Source organism: Homo sapiens, chromosome 7, assembly GCF_000001405.40.
Source record: "Homo sapiens chromosome 7, GRCh38.p14 Primary Assembly".
Lineage (NCBI taxonomy): Eukaryota > Metazoa > Chordata > Mammalia > Primates > Hominidae > Homo > Homo sapiens.
Genome location: NC_000007.14, coordinates 130,905,505 through 130,923,763, shown reverse-complemented (window position 1 = coordinate 130,923,763; position 18,259 = coordinate 130,905,505). Strand labels below are relative to the sequence as shown.

The 18,259-nt window shown below is 41.8% G+C and overlaps 2 long non-coding RNA genes across 6 annotated transcripts in view, besides 7 other annotated features; one reads left to right on the top strand and one right to left on the bottom strand.

Annotated features, from left to right (window-relative positions):
• LINC-PINT (long intergenic non-protein coding RNA, p53 induced transcript) overlaps positions 1-18,259 on the top strand; it is a 232,364-nt gene that overhangs the window by 186,162 nt on the left and 27,943 nt on the right. For 3 of the 5 annotated variants that reach the window (NR_110473.1, NR_110472.1, NR_034120.1), the window contains exons 1-2: positions 10,454-10,813; positions 11,612-11,654. The exons of 1 other annotated variant lie outside the window; for it this stretch is intronic. This is a non-coding gene — a long non-coding RNA (long intergenic non-protein coding RNA, p53 induced transcript). Of the gene's footprint in view, positions 1-10,453; positions 10,814-11,611; positions 11,655-18,259 lie in introns of those variants that run through there. One more of the 5 variants, NR_170175.1, reaches the window with a different exon arrangement.
• On the bottom strand, positions 1,818-10,300 carry LINC00513 (long intergenic non-protein coding RNA 513). The gene is made up of 4 exons (NR_109780.1): positions 10,139-10,300; positions 8,662-8,802; positions 7,632-7,864; positions 1,818-2,228 (listed from the first exon to the last, which is right to left on the bottom strand). It is a non-coding gene; the product is annotated as a long intergenic non-protein coding RNA 513 (long non-coding RNA).
• Positions 7,734-7,843: a silencer, noted in NCBI's record as "silent region_18651". NCBI's record gives its function as "represses an Ori minimal core promoter by ATAC-STARR-seq in GM12878 lymphoblastoid cells {active_cell/tissue: GM12878}" and the evidence as "EXISTENCE:reporter gene assay evidence [ECO:0000049][PMID:35858748]".
• Positions 9,842-11,041: an enhancer, noted in NCBI's record as "P300/CBP strongly-dependent group 1 enhancer chr7:130597482-130598681 (GRCh37/hg19 assembly coordinates)". NCBI's record gives its function as "activates an origin of replication core promoter dependent on BRD2, BRD4, P300/CBP, MED14 and CDK7 cofactors, with strong dependence on P300/CBP, by STARR-seq in HCT116 cells {active_cell/tissue: HCT116}" and the evidence as "EXISTENCE:reporter gene assay evidence [ECO:0000049][PMID:35650434]".
• Positions 10,038-10,097: an enhancer, noted in NCBI's record as "active region_26658". NCBI's record gives its function as "activates an Ori minimal core promoter by ATAC-STARR-seq in GM12878 lymphoblastoid cells {active_cell/tissue: GM12878}" and the evidence as "EXISTENCE:reporter gene assay evidence [ECO:0000049][PMID:35858748]".
• Positions 12,035-12,568: an enhancer, noted in NCBI's record as "OCT4-NANOG-H3K27ac hESC enhancer chr7:130595955-130596488 (GRCh37/hg19 assembly coordinates)". NCBI's record gives its function as "activates a minimal SCP1, AML or CMV promoter by ChIP-STARR-seq in naive H9 embryonic stem cells {active_cell/tissue: H9 hESC(naive)}" and the evidence as "EXISTENCE:reporter gene assay evidence [ECO:0000049][PMID:30033119]".
• Positions 12,035-13,102: a biological region, named in NCBI's record as "OCT4-NANOG-H3K27ac hESC enhancers GRCh37_chr7:130595421-130595954 and GRCh37_chr7:130595955-130596488".
• Positions 12,540-12,834: a silencer, noted in NCBI's record as "tiled region #8443; K562 Repressive DNase unmatched - State 5:Enh". NCBI's record gives its function as "represses a minimal TATA promoter and a strong SV40 promoter by Sharpr-MPRA in K562 cells {active_cell/tissue: K562}" and the evidence as "EXISTENCE:reporter gene assay evidence [ECO:0000049][PMID:27701403]".
• Positions 12,569-13,102: an enhancer, noted in NCBI's record as "OCT4-NANOG-H3K27ac hESC enhancer chr7:130595421-130595954 (GRCh37/hg19 assembly coordinates)". NCBI's record gives its function as "activates a minimal SCP1, AML or CMV promoter by ChIP-STARR-seq in naive H9 embryonic stem cells {active_cell/tissue: H9 hESC(naive)}" and the evidence as "EXISTENCE:reporter gene assay evidence [ECO:0000049][PMID:30033119]".

Sequence of the window (18,259 nt, the reverse complement as noted above, 5' to 3'; positions counted from 1 at the left end):
TGTTTGTGATTGATCACATATTTAAAAAATTGTAAAATAAAGACCTTATTTTAATGTTAAAAGTTCACTTCAACACCATCATTTCTACGAGGTTCTAGGTCTTTTGTGAACAAATTAAATATAGTGCTTTCTTTATAACATGAATTAAATCTAGATCCCAATGATATTTGGCACCTTCTAAATACCCAGATGGCCACTGCGTTTGCCTTGAAGTGAAGACGTGTGTAGAGTTTTAATCACATGTTTTATTTTTTCTCTTTTAAATATCGCCTTTTCAATAGTTGCTTGTTAATGAATGACTGATTGTTTACTGCAGTTTATAATCAGGAATTTGAACATTAAAAAATTCTAATCAGGATACAGGTTAAAAAACACTTTCCCTCTCATTCTCTCTTTCCTTATGCTAGAACAATAAAAATAAATTGTCCTCCCCTTGAAAACATAGTAGTTTAAGAAATTTTATCATTCTCTTCTTGAAAACTTAAGTTTAATAAAACAGTTCAGAGGAAACTTAATTATAGTTCTTATACTATAAAAAGCTCTTATAAAAACAGGGGTAGGGCCACAATAAATTTCACCTCTTGAGCATAACCACCACTTGAAAAAGAAAGATGTAGTTAAAAAATTATTTTTGCTTTATCTTCTCCATTGTTTAATGCCTGAACATACTTGGATTTTTTAACAGCAGGAACAAGACAGAAGACTTTGTTAGCTACCCAGGTAAGATCATTTGAGTCCAAAGACCAGATTCCAGAACAGACTGCAGATTCCTGTTGAGGACATGGGTTGTCAGGACAGCCTGGAGGCAGAGGGGTAGATTCTGTTGTAGGTGTCGTAAGTGACATTTTGGATCAGATTTTTAACCCTCTTTTGTTTTTGAAAGTGAGTAAATATTCATAGCAGATTATTCTCATGAAACAAGACTGACACTATGACCTCAGGGAAAGAGTGCTTTGGGGGGAACTGTGTATTTAATTAAGCAAAGAAAGAGCTGATGAAAGGGGCTGAGTGTCTCAGAGCTGTTGTTTCTTCTGCCGAATTTTTCCAAATAGGAGCACAGAAGTCCTGAGAACACTGCCTCTCTATATGTTGTGCTCAGTCCACACACTGCCAACAAATGTGCATACACACACACACACATACACACCTCAAAGACAACCCCTCCAGCCTGTGGTTTTCCTGAATTAGCTTTCCCAAAGTACCTTGAGCACTATGGGTTCAGACTGGGGTTTGGGTTTGGTGACAGCTGTCAGTGCTCCAAAGGCAGAGGACTGAACTTAGGGCAAATCTGTGGCAACAGAAAGCTCTTTTCTGTTCCATGAAAGTCATGGATGATGCTTTCAGATCCTGTCTGCAAATTGCCCAACATCGCATTGATAATGGAAACAAATGATCTGACACTCACATAGCTAAATATAATTTAGAATTTTGATGTGAGGTTGAAACATGAAAGATCATGCTTTTCAAACTGCTGTGATGACTTACACAGACAATTCATTTTAGATAATGGTGAGTTAAGCCTGGCAGCCTCTGAGCGTTTTCCCCTCATTTGTTCAAACACCTGCAGTTGGGTACTGATGCACATGTTTAATTGCTTAAACTTAAATTATAAAATCCCTAAAAGGATGTTTTTCTCCTAGAAAATAAGTCAGGTCTCTTGCAAAGGCTGCCTGCTTTCATGAGCTTCTTGTATTTCCCGGGATGCTTATGCGCCAGCCCCTGTTAGGTCTGCTTTTAAACACAGGAAGTTGAGCCCTTCAGGGAAAGTGCCGATGTCTGAACCATCAGCAAAATCACTACACCCATTCCCTGGGAAGTCTAGTTCATCAGAAACAAGTTTAATTCGGGAACTGTAGTTTATCCAGGTTCCGTGAAGGCAATTAGCACTGGGCAAAGGGCTGTTTGATCAGCCTAGAGAGAGACCGCCTTTACGCCTAAAGCTCCAGTCATTTGTCTCTACTCCCGCCGACTCGCAGCGGCCACAGAAGACATCAGAACTGGATGAAAATGGCCCTGCCCCTGCGACAGAGCAGGGCGCTTCTGGCTTGCGCCTTGTTATTTGTCCCTCCAGTGGTTCCTAGCTGTTGTGACGTCAAGGCTGCCATTCAGAGCAGAGAAAAAGGAAACCATGGCCTCTCTTCGCATCAGTAGCCCGGACAAGCTGTTGTTTCTCAGGCATCCAAAGCGCTTTCTGTCTGGCAGAGCTGTGCATTCCATGCCTGGGTGACCTGGTTAAATGGAGGAAACCAAATGCTATCCGCTGAATGCTCTCCAAAACAAGCACTCCGCCCTGCGCGTCTCAAGCACAGGCTTCACTGCCTCCGAGGACTGTGAAGGGAACAGCAGCACTGCCTGCATTTGCTGCTGGCATATTCAGCTTCTGGTCAGGGTCTTAAAGGAGAAAATAACATCCTCAATGGCCTCGATTAATGCACACTCACCAACGTGTTTGTGCTGCCTTTGGGGTCAGTGCTACAAAATCCTTTTTTAAAAAAGGATTCGGAATCACAGTCAGAAGTTCAAAACTGCTGAACTGCCACCTCTTCCTTCCTGTCTCACTTCGGCTCACGCCATTCCCCAATTTCAGGTTTCTGAATTCCAGAAAGGCTCTTGTGTATGTGAACATATTAATCTTGCACCGTGCCTTACTGAACGTGTGTATGTTTTGCACACACATGAGAAAGACTCACAAGTATAATGCGTGGATCACAACTCTAGGATTTTCTCAATGAAGAGTAACACCTTATGCTTTTCAGAGAAAAGGGGCTATTTCACAGTGTCACAGAACTCTCCTTAGGAGCAAGCCAAGATCTCTGTAGCAAACATCAATCCTGCAAGGCCAAAAGCTCACTAATAAAGTTCTGATCACGTAGAGTGACTGCCTAAGAATTGACCAACTTCAGACTAAATTTTCTGAGGACATACCTTCTTGGGTTTCTTTCTGGCATGAGAGACTATTTTATTAGATTCTTGGATTCAATTATAGTCACCAGAAAAAGCAAGGTTATAACAACCACGCTTTGTGTTCCAGAGTTGTCTTAGTTAACTCAGTATTCATTTGAGGTTTTATGTTACAAATCCCATTAAATCTTTCTCAAAATAGCCCTTCTCTGAACATTTGATGGAAGAATATTTGCAGGAACCAAAACCATTTGATATATACACCGGTATATGTCAGGAAGGATCGTGATACAGGGGTGCCTTTTAAAAGTGGGTTATTATACGACAGAATTCTTCCAGGTCCCTGACTCTTGTCTTCTGAAAAAAAAAAAAGTGGAGATCTTCAGAGGACTGGATAAAGACAGAATGGATGGGGTGAATTATGTAAAGTTAGGATTTAGACTGAGGGTTTACAGGGCTGCAGTCTCGTTTTGCCTCAACAGTCAGACTTGCCCAGGGTCTGGCCTAATACCATACAAATGTCATATCCACAGTGGCATTGATACAGTGGTGGGAATGGGGCATGGGGGTGATGAGCATAGCTTCTTGCTGAGTGCTCTGGTCCGGGTGAGCCTGAGATCTTGAGAGAAAAACTAGGACATTATTTCCATCGTGGGCTGAAGAATTAGTTCTGCTACTTGCATATCAGTTAATCCTTTTCTTTTTTTTTTTTTTTTTTTTTGCTATTACTACCATTTCAGGAGGTACTTGTTATCTGAAGATAACTGATACAGGACCACTACTGCTGTTTTAAGAGGATTGACTTAAAACTGAATCACACATTTAAAAACAAACAGTCACTTTTTTTTTAAAGATCTTATTGGGACTAAGTCCTGAAAAAAATAAAACTAAAGTTGAAGTTTAGTTTGTTTTATATAATAGAAATTTGGGATATGATGCAACAGCATGTTATTTCTTAGAAGAAAGATTGAATGTTGACTTCTAAAGCAGAATCATATAAAGAAGATGATTTTTGTACAAGCATTCGAATTTCCCCAAAGGCCTCTCTTAATCTTTTGATATACAAACCATTCTCTTGAAGAGTCTACCTCTCATGTAATCACCTCTGTTGACTTTCTCTTCAATTGTTAACTGTTGAAACTGTCTTTCATCTTGTCAGTGACCCTATGTGATTCATGCAGTTTGCTGGTATCATTTTTATCAACTGTGTGAAAATCTGCAATTCCACCTTACAAGTGAGCTACATTGGATTTTCATTTTATTCTATGACATTATTCAACCAAGAAAGTGAGCAAGAATAGATGCTGATGTTAATGAGGACTAATAATAAGTGATCACTGTGTTTGTCAATATTTTTATATGATGATGACCTTTGCTTCCTTATGCAACTTGGTAACTACAGGGATTCAGATAATGATTACTCGAGTAATGAATCCCCACCCCCTGCCAAATATTATGTTGTGTTTAAAGTACTCAGTATGGTTTAGTGGGCTTTATAATCAACCACATGTAGATTTGGAAGCCACCCCTGACACTTCACTGAGTTCTATAACCTTGAGTGTGCTATTCACAGAACCTAAGATTCTTGATCTTTTATGTAGAGTAACAAAACCAACCTTGCATCCTCTAGACATTGTAAAGTCACAGAAAAGTTTTGAGGAATGCAGCGACATGAATTTTACTACATTTTAGAAGACCACAGCTGGGGACTCTGTATGCCCCGCATCAGCTAATACCATTTGATAGCCATTTTTTTCATGGCATAGGTGAGAACACTAAGGCCCAAGGATATGATGTACTTTCTTGGCATCACATGGTTTGGTTCTGGCACAGCCAGGCCTAGAACCCAACCTTCCTACTGCCTGCTGTGTTTCTTCACCACCCAGTTGCTCCTTGGCAAGTGAACCAATTACAAAGGCTGTCTTACTTGTCCAAGGACAGAGAGAAAGGTGCATCCTGGGTGACTGGAAATGGGAGTGGGAGGGAGAGGATGGAGGCAGCAGACATTGAAAGTAAGTATTGACTAGACTTGGTGACAGAATGGCTCAGCTCGGCTCAGTGAAGAAGGGAGTCCAGAGGCCAAACTTTCAACCCTGGTGGGATGGCTATACAGTTAAGTAAAGTAAAATCAGTAGAATGGTGTTGGTTTTTTTGCTTCATGATGAATTTAAAGGGACTGCCTTATCCAGATAGAAATATGTTAAAGATATAGGTAGGAGAGGTAGCTACCATTAAAGATACAGATTTGAGATTAATGCCACAGAAGGAGAGCTGAAACCACTGTACTACATATAACCGTGTGTGTGTGTGTTGCACATGTGCGCACACGCACTTGTGTTAAACTGGATTTGTTGGCGTATCTCCAATTCAAACCTGGGTCAGGTGATTATGTTGTAACTTACTGCCCAGTTATAATCACAAACTGTTACACCTTCATCAGAAGGAAGAGCGAGTTCCCTAGATCAGTGTGTTTGTGTGTTTGTTTTGTTGGATGGATCCTGCCGAGGCACTGAGAGACAGACTTTGCTGGGCCCTGTTTTGTAAACAAATCTGTTCACGCACGCTTTCTTCTATCATTGGATGTGTACACTGGCTCTGATTTTCCCACCCGACACGCCAAAGCCTAAGCATTTAGAAGCTTGTTTTCTTTTAGAAGTAGGCAGGCACCAAAGAAAAACCTGCATATGCATTTAAAGTGTGCACATCTACCCTAAGTAAGTCTTTGGATCTTTACAGTTTTAACTCTGGGCCATGTACAGTGTATTTCAGCCCACTACACACGGCAGACCTGCGAGACGTCCTGACAGCCCCCACAAAACTATGGACTGAGCTTAGTGCAAAAGAGAAAGCCCTTCTTACCCTTAAAGTTCACTGCACGGGCCATTGTGGGATTAGTCACCCCAGATGATAAAACATAATACTGGTTTTCCTAAGTAGGGGTGATTCAGCTTTCTCTTAGATTGGAATATGAACTTAATGTATATAATACATACAGTCACTTCCTGAACTTGTAGTTTTTTGCATGTTTTATTTAATATTCTAGCCAGGTTTAAGTTTTTATGGCAGGAAGTATGTGAATGGTTATGACAGGAGTAAATAACAGTTGATTTTATGATTACAGTACAGGAAGTAACTTTTCACACCAAATAAATCTTTGGGAAAAAAGTGCTGGCTTATAAATTTAACGTACATAAATTTTCCAGAATCTTGCATACAGTCGCCTGTGCTCTCTTAAATGGAACTAAATACCTGGCTGGTCTTTTTTCTTTTAACTTTTTTTTGTCAACGAATGTCTTTGTTTTAGAAAGAGGCATTTTCAAGTGTTTTGATGTGACCCAACGTGACCTAAAACCATTAAAAGATTCTAAGCAAAAATAATAAGGCCAAACTTTAGTGTAAATAGCATGAAAGGCTTGAAAACTAAATAAAAAATTATTTTTTCCTTTAAGAGTAAATAGCTAGGCTAGGCATGGTAGTTCATACCTCTGAACCTGTGAACCATTGCTTTGGGGGGCTGAGGTGAAAGGATTGCTTGAGCCCAGAAGTTCAAGACGAGCCTGGGCAACATAGCAAGACCCCTTCTCTATTAAAAAAAAAAAATAGCCAGATGTGGCACACGCCTGTAGTCCCAACTACTCAAGAAACTGGGGCAGGAGGATCACTTGAGCCCAGGAGTTTGAGGCTGCAGTGAGCTATGATCACGCCACTGTACGCCAGCCTAGGCAACAGAGCGGGGGGCTCTGTCTTAAATGACCAAATCATTTTTCATCATTAAAGCCCGGGAAGCCTCCAAACTGCCACCGAGTCAAGTTCCTTCCAGTGACTCCTATAGCCATGATCTGCAGGCACTTGGGAGGAACAGCCTGTTAACATCAGAGAGGCTGTTGCATGTGAACAAGTTTACAGAGAAGAGGAAAGAATTGGATAGAACTTCAGTTACATTTCATTGTAAGCAGAGCTTTAACAGAGGCTTTGTTTTTCCTTGAATAAAAAAATGAATAGCGGGAATACAAGATTTAGAGAAGATTTCTTTCTTCACCCTTTTCATCTTAAAGCCTAAAGATGTTGTAATGAGAAAAATATTGTGACATTCCTTTCTGAAGGTTACTATTACACACACGTGAATTATGTGAACGAATGGGTGGATGCCTGGCAGATTAAAATGTGGAGTTCCAGATGCATTCATAACCACCATGTGGCTATGACACAGTGGCACATCATTGGGCTGGGAGTGAAAGGATGAAGGTTCAGACTTCAGCCCTGTGTCTGGGAGCCTCACCCAACCACCCTGACGGAAAACAGGATCTCTGAATCCCTTCTACCTCTACAACTCGGTACCACACATTGTGCAACTAAGTAACTTGCAAGTTATGTGAAACTGTTTTCACAGGATCAGCAGAGTTACCACTGCTTCGTTGTCCTGAATCTTCATTACATTTTTACAGACAATATATTTGCATGTGACATGATTAAAAATCTACCTTGTGTTTTTATGGTCTTTGTAGGTTTTAAGGTAGTTTCTTATATGCTGTTTTCCTTGCTGTGCAGCCAACCTGGGTGTTACTGGCAGACATGCTGAGGGCAGGCTCTGGATGTGGAGTCAAGGTCAGGCTCCCTGGCTCTGAATCCTGGCTCAACCACCTACTGATTGTGTAACCCTGGGCATGTCCTTAAGCACCCAGGGCCTCAGTTTCCTTATCTGTAGGATGAGGATTAAAAATAGAACTTACCTCCAGGGCTGCTGTGAAGATTAAACGAATGGACGGATGTGTAGCTTGTGGTAGCGCCTGAGCTGGCCCTGCATGTCAGTGTGCTGTTCTCGCTGATGATGAAACTGGCTTAGCGAGGTTGGGTGATATGCATAAGAGCAAATTAGCAAAAAAGATGAGCCAGAACTCAAACACGGCCTTAGGACTTCTCAGTGGCTGGTGCCCTTCCGTTGTGAGACCACTCTCTCTCCTGCCTATAAAAGTGCCACGAAAGAGTGCGCTCCATTTCATTGTTTAAAAGAGAACTGAGTAAATGTTAAACATGAAGGTCATTTGTCACGGGGTTTTACTTTGTTTGGAGAGGGTGGACTCTATAACTCTTGAATGGTGTCCACAGCATAGCAAGGACCTGGACAGCCTCCATGGTTTCATCACATTCTCAACATCCAGCCTTAGAAATAGCTCCCTTTAGGTCACCAAATTAACAGGAGTTTCTAAAGGATAGCAGCTTTTTTGCAACTGCTGCATCTGTTAGATTCATGTTCTCTTTGCTCCCTTCTCCCCAAGCTTCTATTTCATGATCTTTTTGTTGTTTTGCTCTACTTTTCCTCTTTTTAAAACCTCTGCATTGGCCACCCAGGATTTAAGAGGAGCTTTTCTGGAAAGCTGTCTGAAACAGGAACAAATTACACAGAAACACTGAGAGCTGTGAACTTGTGTGTATACCTGACATAGTGGGAGAGGGGGGCTTCCTTCTAAGTAATAGAGAAGAGTGAATATTCTAATCATTGAGTAGTGGTCAGGCCTGTAATCACTGCTTTTTCTTTTGCTGAGCTCGGTATCAACGGACAAGCTCAAAAATTGTAGCTATTTAAAATTACTCTCCATGTAAAGGGTTCCTGTTCCTTTGATCCTATCACAGACTTCCTTTTTTTCTATTGAGGAGGTTCATAAGATCTCGTGGGCAAGGGCTGAGGAGATGACTATTGCGTAGTGTAGTTGTTTTAAATTAAAAATTTACCTCTAGTTATAGGTGCTACTTTTTACTTACCCTCAATTTGGAGATTACATCATGCAGGCTGGGCACAGTGGTTCATGCCTGTAACCCCAGTGCTTTAGGAGGCCAAGGCGGGAGAATTGCTAAAGGCCAGGAATTAGAGACCACCCTGGGCAACACAGCAAGGCGTCATCTCTACCAAAAAAAAAAAAATTATCTGGGCATGGTGGTACTTACCTGTAGTTTCAGCTACTCTGGAGGCTGAGATGAAGTGAGACCCTGCCTCTAAAATAAATAAATAAATCAATTATGTATATCAGGCAAATGATTTCCATACTCTTCTTGTTAAAATATCAGTTTGGTAAAGATGGTAAAAGCTTATCACATCCCAGGAAGTCGAGGCTTCCGTGAGCCAGGATCGCACCACTGCACTCCAGCCTGGGCGACAAGAGTGAGACCCCGTCTCAAACAAACAAAAAAAAAAAGTGAAAATTCCCTTTCAGAATTTCACATCCAAAAATGTGAAATAAAAGAGTTGGGGTCTAAGTGGCAAAGTGCTGCCGTGTTTCAAGTTAAGGGCTTCCATGGATTGTGTGATAAATACAGGTGTGAATGTGGGTGATTTGTTTTATTCTTCAGTGCCCATTAAGTAGAAGCTTGTATTTTCCTCCTTCCCCCTTCAAGAGCCCCCCTCCCCACCATGCAGGCACATGGAGGCCCCAAGTTGGAAGCACATTCACAGCCTGAAGCTGAAGGACAGGCTCTGAAAAATCTTTCTTTCAGCAAAACGTCTACTAATCTCAGAAAGTGAGCTTTGTCACCATTGATACTCTGTAAGGTGGGATGAAAGCAAGTTTTCTTACTCATTTTGCCCAGTTGTCAAGAAATGCTGCCCTTCTCTCTAACATAAATTAACAGGTTTGGCTACAGCCTAGAGAAATACAAAATGTCACATTTTAGCCTTAGTGGCCGGTTTTCAAAGGGTGCCTGAGTGTGAACACCATGTCGGCTGCTCTGTTAATGTGACTGGGTCTCATAAATAGGTATTTTTCTACCCCTGTGATGGACAAATCTGAAAAAGTTTTTTCATCTTACAAGCCCAGAGGATGGTATTTAGAGGCTGATTTTTGGTATCTCAGTTCCTGGTAGGGAAGACGAATTCCGTATTTGAAATTTGGGGACAAACAAAAATAATTCTTTCTCTTTCCTTGAAGGGTTAATGCTCCAACCAGCCTCAGATTGGTTCGCTTGAATCTTAAAATTACTTTTCTGGTCACGCGCACCGAAGGTCTAAGCATTTGTGAAATGTCTTTTTTTTTTTTCTTTCCTCTTGATGCTGTTCTCTTTGGGCTGTCTTAATTACACAGGGGTTGAGAAACCAAATTAAAATTAGGCGTGTCTGGTCAACAGTGATCACGTTGCATGCTTTTAGCTTTGCTTGTTGAAGTTGCTTCTCCTCCCCGAGTGGCTTTCCTCCCCACAATTTTTTTTTTTTGAAGGAAATATCATAAGCTCTTTCAGAAATACTCACAGGAAGTGAGAGTCCGTATGCTGGTTACTCACCAGCAACTGAGTGTTGGCAGGTGGAGAATGCTACCGCAGCCCGCCCAGACGGATCTGCAGACTGGCCCCATCGCAGAGGATTAGACAGAGGGTGCATGGATCATAGGGTTTTTGAACAGAAGGGAGTTTTAAGAGGAAATTGGTCACTGCGTGTCATCTCGAGGGGTGGTGATTCAGGGAGCAGGGCTGGGGGTCAGAAGGCACGTGGCTGCCATCTCAGAGGTTGCTGCTCACTTCTCAGAGGGCAGGCTGGCTTCTAAAAATCAACGCTCCCTCCACCCCCAAACAGCGATTCTTCTGCAGTGAATCACTTCCAGAAATGAATAGCCACAGTTTTTTGGAATGAACGTTGTGAAATCCCTCCTTTATAATGGCAGGTTTTCAGTTGGTGGTTTTATCAGAATTTCTCAAGATCAAAACGAAACCTTCTCTTTAAAAAGGAAAGAAAGTACTATCGATACAGAAAGCAAAAGTATTTCCAGTCTCCTACTGAACTGTCACGGCAGACCTCTCTGTATCTATATTTAGAGCTGTATGTCCATATATTTGCCTGAATGTGTGAGTTCTTGGAAGTATGGATTCATTGCCAGGAGCTGGTGATTTCCTAAGCAGAGGTCGCTAACTACAAGAAATGTTACACTCGGTGAGTAGGTGGTACTTTCTGAAGATTATTGGTAACCCAGTGTTGGTCGTCTTGAGTCATGGATTTAAATGACGGCTAGCAAGCTCTTAAACACCTTCTGCTTTATATGATACAGAGTATGGAACTGCAGGACGCACAGACAACTGTGAAGGGTTTTTAAGAATATGGATTCATTGAATAATCAGTGAATCTTGTGAATATACTAGACCTTTGGAGGAGGAAAGGGTGTTTTACAGAAGGAAGTGGTTTGTGGGGGCTTTTAAAGGTACAGTTATCGCTTTTCTATATTTATTTTCAGCATCATTCAGTCCTCCTATATGAAAGAAAGAAATGGTCTCGATAGAGAAAAAGTTATGCTGACTCTTTAAATGAAGAAACTTGATCCTCATGTTACTCTTAACTGGACTTTTTTCCTCCTAAATATTCATAAGGGAAACTATCCCATGAAGGCAACTAACTTTCTGGCAATCTCTATGATGTGTCTAATTCAGAACCCGGTGGGCTCTCCATGCATTATTGGCAGCACTTTTATCCAGGGGCACAGACAGGGAATAGGGTTACTGGAAACAGGGAGTGTAGCTCAAGGAATTGTTCTCTCTCTGGAGTGGATAAGTTGTTTGACCTACTGACTCATTTCATAGGAATTAGGAAAACAACCTAGTGTGGTTTTTATTGTTAGTCCTGGAGGATTCCAAAATCTGTGTGCCTGCAAATAAGATGAGCTGGGGAAAGGGAGCACCAGCATTTGGTGTTTCTACTTGCCTCTTTTCCTGATGGAATCCAATCCTCTGCTTCCAGGACAAGTCCTGCGCTTGGGGATCCTCTGTACGCCCGTTCACTGGTGAGTATGTATGACAGCAATTTCTGATTTCACTAGTTCTTGCTTCTAACACCTAAATGGTGCTTTGTCTAGGGAAACGCTTTAAAGAGCATTTTCCCCCAGTACGTTTATAATACATTTCATATTTACCTCCAGAAAATACTGTGGATGTGATAATAATTATAAAAGACAACCCACAGACAACAATGAAAGTTAAGAATTAAGATATATTCTGATAGATTTTTGCAGCATATTGACATAAAGGCAGTTTTGGTTTTGACATATGTACACTAAAATGATATCTGTAATGCTATTAAAACTCAAGTGTACAAGGCACCAGTATATTCTGGCAAAAATAATATAATGATCAACAGTTAATGAAAGACTTGTGCTTTGAGCTTCTAACAAAATGTTAATATGTAGAGAATCTTGTGATTCATGATGCTTTGGTTCTCAACCAGGGTTATCAAATAAGCTAAAAGTATCAGAAGAGGACAAAGAAAGTACGTAAAACATGGATAAAAGCAGAAACCGAGAAAAGATAGCTTTGATATTTAAAGTGTTAGATTATGGCCTCTATATAATGTCATATATGCCAGATCCCCCCCCAAAATCACACCCTCAAATTATGATCTTCATTATTCAAAAGATGTTTGGCGTGTTGGTGGTACAGTGGTGAGCGTAGTTGCCTTCCAGAAGATGGTTGGTGTATAATTACTATAGAATTTCTTGCTCTCTTGGGAGGTGGCTTAGTAGAAGGTTGAGTCAGGCAAGCTGGGGCTGTTTATTCAGTGTGCTGTGCTGTGCTGTGCTGTGCTGTGCTGTGCTGTGCTGTGCTGTGCTGTGTCTGAATGCCTGGGAGTTTGCGTTGTTAACCTTTCCAGGGTGCTAGATCCCTTTGAGATTATGATGGAAGCCATGAATCCTTTTCCCACACCTGTATGCAAACATGTGCCTGCCCATTTACAGACCCAAAGAAGGACATCCATGTACCCCACGTTAAGAAGGCTGCCCTGGACTAAGCCCTCACTGTGACTCTGCTGTTCTTAAGCTTCCCAGGAAACACTGTTATGTAAAAAGACGAGCCATCCAGGTCAAAAAGAAGTCATTGTGGTTGCTAGGTGGGGGTGCAAAGCCAAAGACAAAGGGTGGGGAAAATACATGACTAATAATAAATAAAGAGCATGGTTAATACCAGAGTCTCCAAACTGATAGCCCAGAATCCCTCAACATGTAGCCACGAGTATTTGTAAAGTACGTTGTGAATTCAGGTAGAGGGCCGAAGACTCAATATTAAGCAGTTGGGCAGAGTTTTCATACATATATTTGTCTCTGCCTTTTGCACAATATAAAACTATGAAATCTCTTTTCATTTTTCTATTGTGCACGCTACCACATTAGGTAGGAATCAAAATCATCTCAACTCCAGAAGTATAATTCATAACAATTATAACAAAGCAGAAAAATGATTCTACATTAGCAGAAGAAATGTAGTAGGAATAGATTTAAAATAGCATGGTTGAGTACAAAAGAAACATCGTTTTTTAAAAAATGGCAGCCTTTATCACTCATCAGCTAAACTTAAAGTCAATGCTGTGAGGCTGTTGCGGGAAAAAAATAGTCATGATTCTTGGGTGTATTAAAAGGAGTATGACATAGAAGGGTAAGAAAACAAGACGTAGTGTGTTTGTCAGACTCATCATTGTGTCCTGTTTGAGTCACACTTAAAAAAAGAATTTGGACAATTGTGAAAAGCTGATACACAAGCAACAGAAATTACACGCCCTTCCAGGAAAAGATAAGGCAACTGAGGATTTTATTCCACACAAGGCTGGAGGATTTTTTGCTAATGGCCTTTAAGTAGTAACAGTCTGGTTTATCCTTATATTCCTAGGGCCTTCCGCTCTGCCTGGTGCACAGTACTTGAGATGATCGTTGTGTTTAGTGATAATGAGTAAGGTTCCTGTGAGAGACTTAGCAGGAGTAAGTAGGTTCAAATAAAACCAGCGATAGTGTCATGACAGACGGTATATAATACATGAATTTGCTGGGTGATTAATACATAAGGATGACTGTCTCACTTGTGAGGATGATATAATACTTCAGCAGCTAACTGGGGGAAGCTACAAAATCTTGGTTTGATACCTCTTTCAGGATGAAAGCAGATAAGTCTGCTGGGGTGGTGGAAACATTCATTCATTCATTCTACAAACCCTGAGGGCCTACTTGGCTAGGTGCTCACGGTCTGGTAGAGGAGACAAAGATACAAAAACAGAGTCACAGTGTGTAATGAGTGCCATGGGAGCATAAAAACAGCATGCGCAGGGCTTGTGACACTCAACCGCCACCCCGCGCAGCTTCCAATGGAGGCAAAGTCACAATTGACCCCAATAGACAGGCTTGACAGAGTTAGTTGGATGGGAGGCAGGTGGGGCAGCCTGTCCAGAGGCGCAGACCTGTGTGTGTGGGGAAGGGGTGATGGGAGATGCAGACTCGGCAGTGCTTGTTAACAGAGGTGTGAATGCCGCGCCTTGCTTGCCTGAAGATTTCCACCCAGGATCCTGACAAAAGTCAGATGTGCACTTCAGAAAGGCCAGGCGGGCTGCAGTGAAGAGAATGACTCGAGGGGGTGCGGGTGTGGGACAGGCCATCGAGGCAAGGAGGCCAAATGGAAAGCTTTGGTCAGGACACAGGTGGTGATGGATTCGGGGGAGAAATGGGGGAGGGTGACGCAGGCAGAGTGGCCAGGGTTATCAAGTGGCATCATTCACCACAAAATGCAGTCCAAGAGGAAGCCCAGCTGTGAGGGGGGGACAGGTGGGGCCCAGGTGTGAGGGGGGATAGGTGGCATTCAGACATGTCAGTACACAGAGTCAATGGCAGAGACAGAGCCAGTGGGCAGTTGCACCATGTGGATAAGGACTTGAGTGAGACCTGTCTCCAAAGCAGGGGATCACTCTTCTAATTTTTTATATGGTGTTTTTCATTCTATTCTGACTCATTTGTAATAAAACCTCCTTTGTTTTTTATCATATATATTTCAGGTGTCAACATGCTGGTTTGATATAACATGTACAAAGCAAAATAATAACTTACACTCCAGCTGTGAGTGTACCATCTCACAGTTACCTTTTTGTGCATGTGTGTTAAGCCCACCTAAAATGCACTTAGAAATATTCAGTATCTTCACTGTGGTCATGCTGTACTGCAGATCTCTAGATGTATTCGTCTGACATCATTCCAGCTTTATACCCTTTGACCCACATCTCCCCATCCCCCCAACCACCTCTCTCTGTTTCTATGGACTGTATTTGACTATTTTAGATTCCACATATTACCTCTAATCCTCAAAGCTCTATTAGGGTTTTGTGTATTTCCTTCCAGCATTTTCCTACATACACACAATTTGCAGAATCAGCATAATTCTGTATAGGTACTTTATTTATTTATTTATTTTGAGATGGAGTTTCGCTCTTGTTGCCCAAGCTGGAGTGCAGTGGCACAATCTCGGCTCAATGCAACCTCTGCCTCCTGGGTTCAAGCAATTCTCCTGCCTCAGCCTCCCAATTAGCTTGGATTACAGGCACGCGCCACCACGCCCAGGTAGTTGTGTATTTTTAGTACAGACGGGGTTTCACCCTATTGGTCAGGCTGGTCTCGAACTCCTGACCTCAGGTGATCCACCCACCTCGGCCTCCCAAGGTGCTGGGATTACAGGTGTGAGCCACCACGCCCAGCCTGTATAGACACTTTCCTCTTTTTTTTTTTTTTTTTTTGAGACGGAGCCTTGCTCTGTCACCCAGGCTGGAGTGCAGTGGCGCAGTCTCGGCTCACTGCAAACTCCACCTCCCGGGTTCATGCCATTCTCCTGCCTCAGCCTCCCAAGTAGCTAAGACTACAGGTGCCCGCCACCACGCCCGGCTAATTTTTTGTATTTTTAGTAGAGACGGGGTTTTACCATGTTAGCCAGGATGGTCTCGATCTCCTGACCTCGTGATCTGCCCGTCTCGGCCTCCCAAAGTGCTGGGATTACAGGCTTGAGCCACCATGCCCGGCCTGTATAGACACTTTCTATCCCACTTTTAAAACAGGCATGTTCTCCCTATGCTTTAAAATGCCTTTAAAATATTTCTAATGGTGCTAATTCTCTAATTTGGGAGTGTCTAATTTGCTTCCAGTTTTTAAAAACTATTTTTTATTATAGTAATTAACCTTTTAAATACATGAATCTTGGGCATATTTTTAATGATTTCCTTAGGAGAGATTCCTTACAGTGAATTTCTTGAGTAAAAGGAGGTTAACTGTAAGATTCTTGATATACCTTGCTAAATTGTTTTCTAGAAAGCTTGAACCAAGTTCTGCACATTTTAGCAAAGTATGAAATGTCCTTCTCTCCATATCTTCATCAGCATTGAGTGTTCTCTCTTTTTTATCTTTAGACAAAAAGGTTACATTCTTTTTGGTTCATCTACTCAGAAGCTATTTAATGAATGTTCACTCCATGTCAGGCATGTGGCATGTTTTCATCTCTACCAGTAACGCTGAACTTTCTTCTTGTGTGCATCAGCCTGTTGTTTTCTTTTGTAAATGTTCTGTTCGTGTCCATTATCAACTTTTCTACTAGGGTGTGACTGTTTCTATGATATATTTATAACGATGTGTGTGTGTGTGTGTGTGTGTATACGATATTTGGGGTAAATACTTTTCCCAGCTTCTTTGACTTTTAATTTTGCTTATACTTTATTGGAAATACAGAACCTTTATTTTATTATTATTATTATACTTTAAGTTCTGGGATACATGGGCAGAACGTGCAGGTTTGTTACATAGGTATAAACGTGCCATGGTGGTTTGCTGCACCCATCAAACCACCATCTACATTAGGTATTTCTCCTAATGCTATCCCTCCCATAGTCCGCCACCCACCAACAGGCCCTGGTGTGTGATGTTCTGCTCCCTGTGTCCATGTGTTCTCATGAGAACCTTTATATTTTATGTAGTGGAGTAAGTTATTTTATCTTTTTTTTTTTCCTGTGTAACTTCTGTTACCTCAGGCTTAGGAATTCCTTCCTACCCAGAAGTTAGAAAATATTCATCTATTTTTTTTTAAAGTTTCATTTTTAACATTAAACTCACCAAATTAGAAGTAAGATGTGGCCAGGCACAGTGGCTCACACCTGTAATCTCAGTGCTTTGCGGGGGCTAAGGTGGAAAAATCACTTGAGGCTAGGAGTTCAAGACAAGCCTGGGTAACACAGTGAGACCCCACCTCTACCAAAAAATTTAAAAATTAGGCAGGCATGGTAGCATGTGTCTGTAGTCCTAGCTGCTTGGGAGGCTGAGGTGGGAGGATCACTTCAGCCCAGAAGCTTGAGGCTGTAGTTAGCTATTATCATGCTATTGCATTCCAGCCTAGGCAACAGAGCAAGAACCCTGTGTCTTTAAAAAAAAAAAAAAAAAAAGTGTGAAACAAAGATCCAAATGGACTTTGTTTCACAAAGTAAATCCCCCATCATGTTTTGAGTCATGTATCTTTCCCTATTTAATTTGTGGTGCTTCCTTTATTTTATATTTCAAGACTTTTTGCTATTATATCCAGCGGTAGGAGCCCATGAACTTGTTGGATATTGGTATGCACAGAAGATGCGGTAATACTTTTTTCCAATATTTTATTATGAAAAATACACTGGCTAGATTCTATAATTAATATTCTGTCACTTTACCATCTATTCACGTAATAATTCTTAAACTTCTCAAATCATTATTTGAATTTCAAAGTGGACTATCAAAGACATTTTCTCTAACCCTATTTTTCTCTAATTTGCAGTTTTGATTTCCAGGAAGCCTTTAGCAATTTATATTGTTAGTACAGTAAGAGAGTAAACAACACACTAAAATACCAAGAGAAACTACTTTCCAAAACATGTTTTAGTCGTTTAACTTTATGAATATGGCTAGCAAGGGGGCTTCCTGGGGGACAGTGCTGGGGAAAGAGCAGGCCCTAGGAATGGGCTTTGAAAGAAGACTTTTGCCACCGTCAGGTCACATTTGCAAGAGGCCATCGTCGTGGTCTGCCAGGGAACCCTTAGCAGAAAGGCTGCTTTGCCCAGGATCTGGCTTGCCGCCCCAGACCAGCCCTACCGCTGTCTGGCATTGAATGTCCCTGGTCCGCAGTGAGTGGCCAGTTGCATAGACCTTAGATCAAGGAGCTTAGTCACCTCTTTCCAGCCTAAATCATGAGCACCCTAAATTCCCATGGGTTGTTGAGACCTAATAGCATCCTGGCTTAGAGATGGGATTGCAGCTGGGTCTGCACAGGAAACTGGCCTACTGTGTCTGCCTCTTGGTGCAGCATACAACCAGCCACATGGAAAAACCCAGCCTGCAATAAAAGACTTGCTTTGGTCACCACCTGACATTAGCTGTGGTTTAATCTGTGTAATGTTTTTCTTCCCCCCCATCTAAGCCTCAATTTCCTATCCATAAAATATGTTGGTTTTGGCCAGGCGTGGTGGCTCACGCCTGTAATCCCAACACTTTGGGAGGCCAAGATGGCCTGATCGCCTGAGGTCAGAAGTTCAAGACCAGCCTGGGCAACATGGCAAGACCCCCCCCCTCTACTAAAA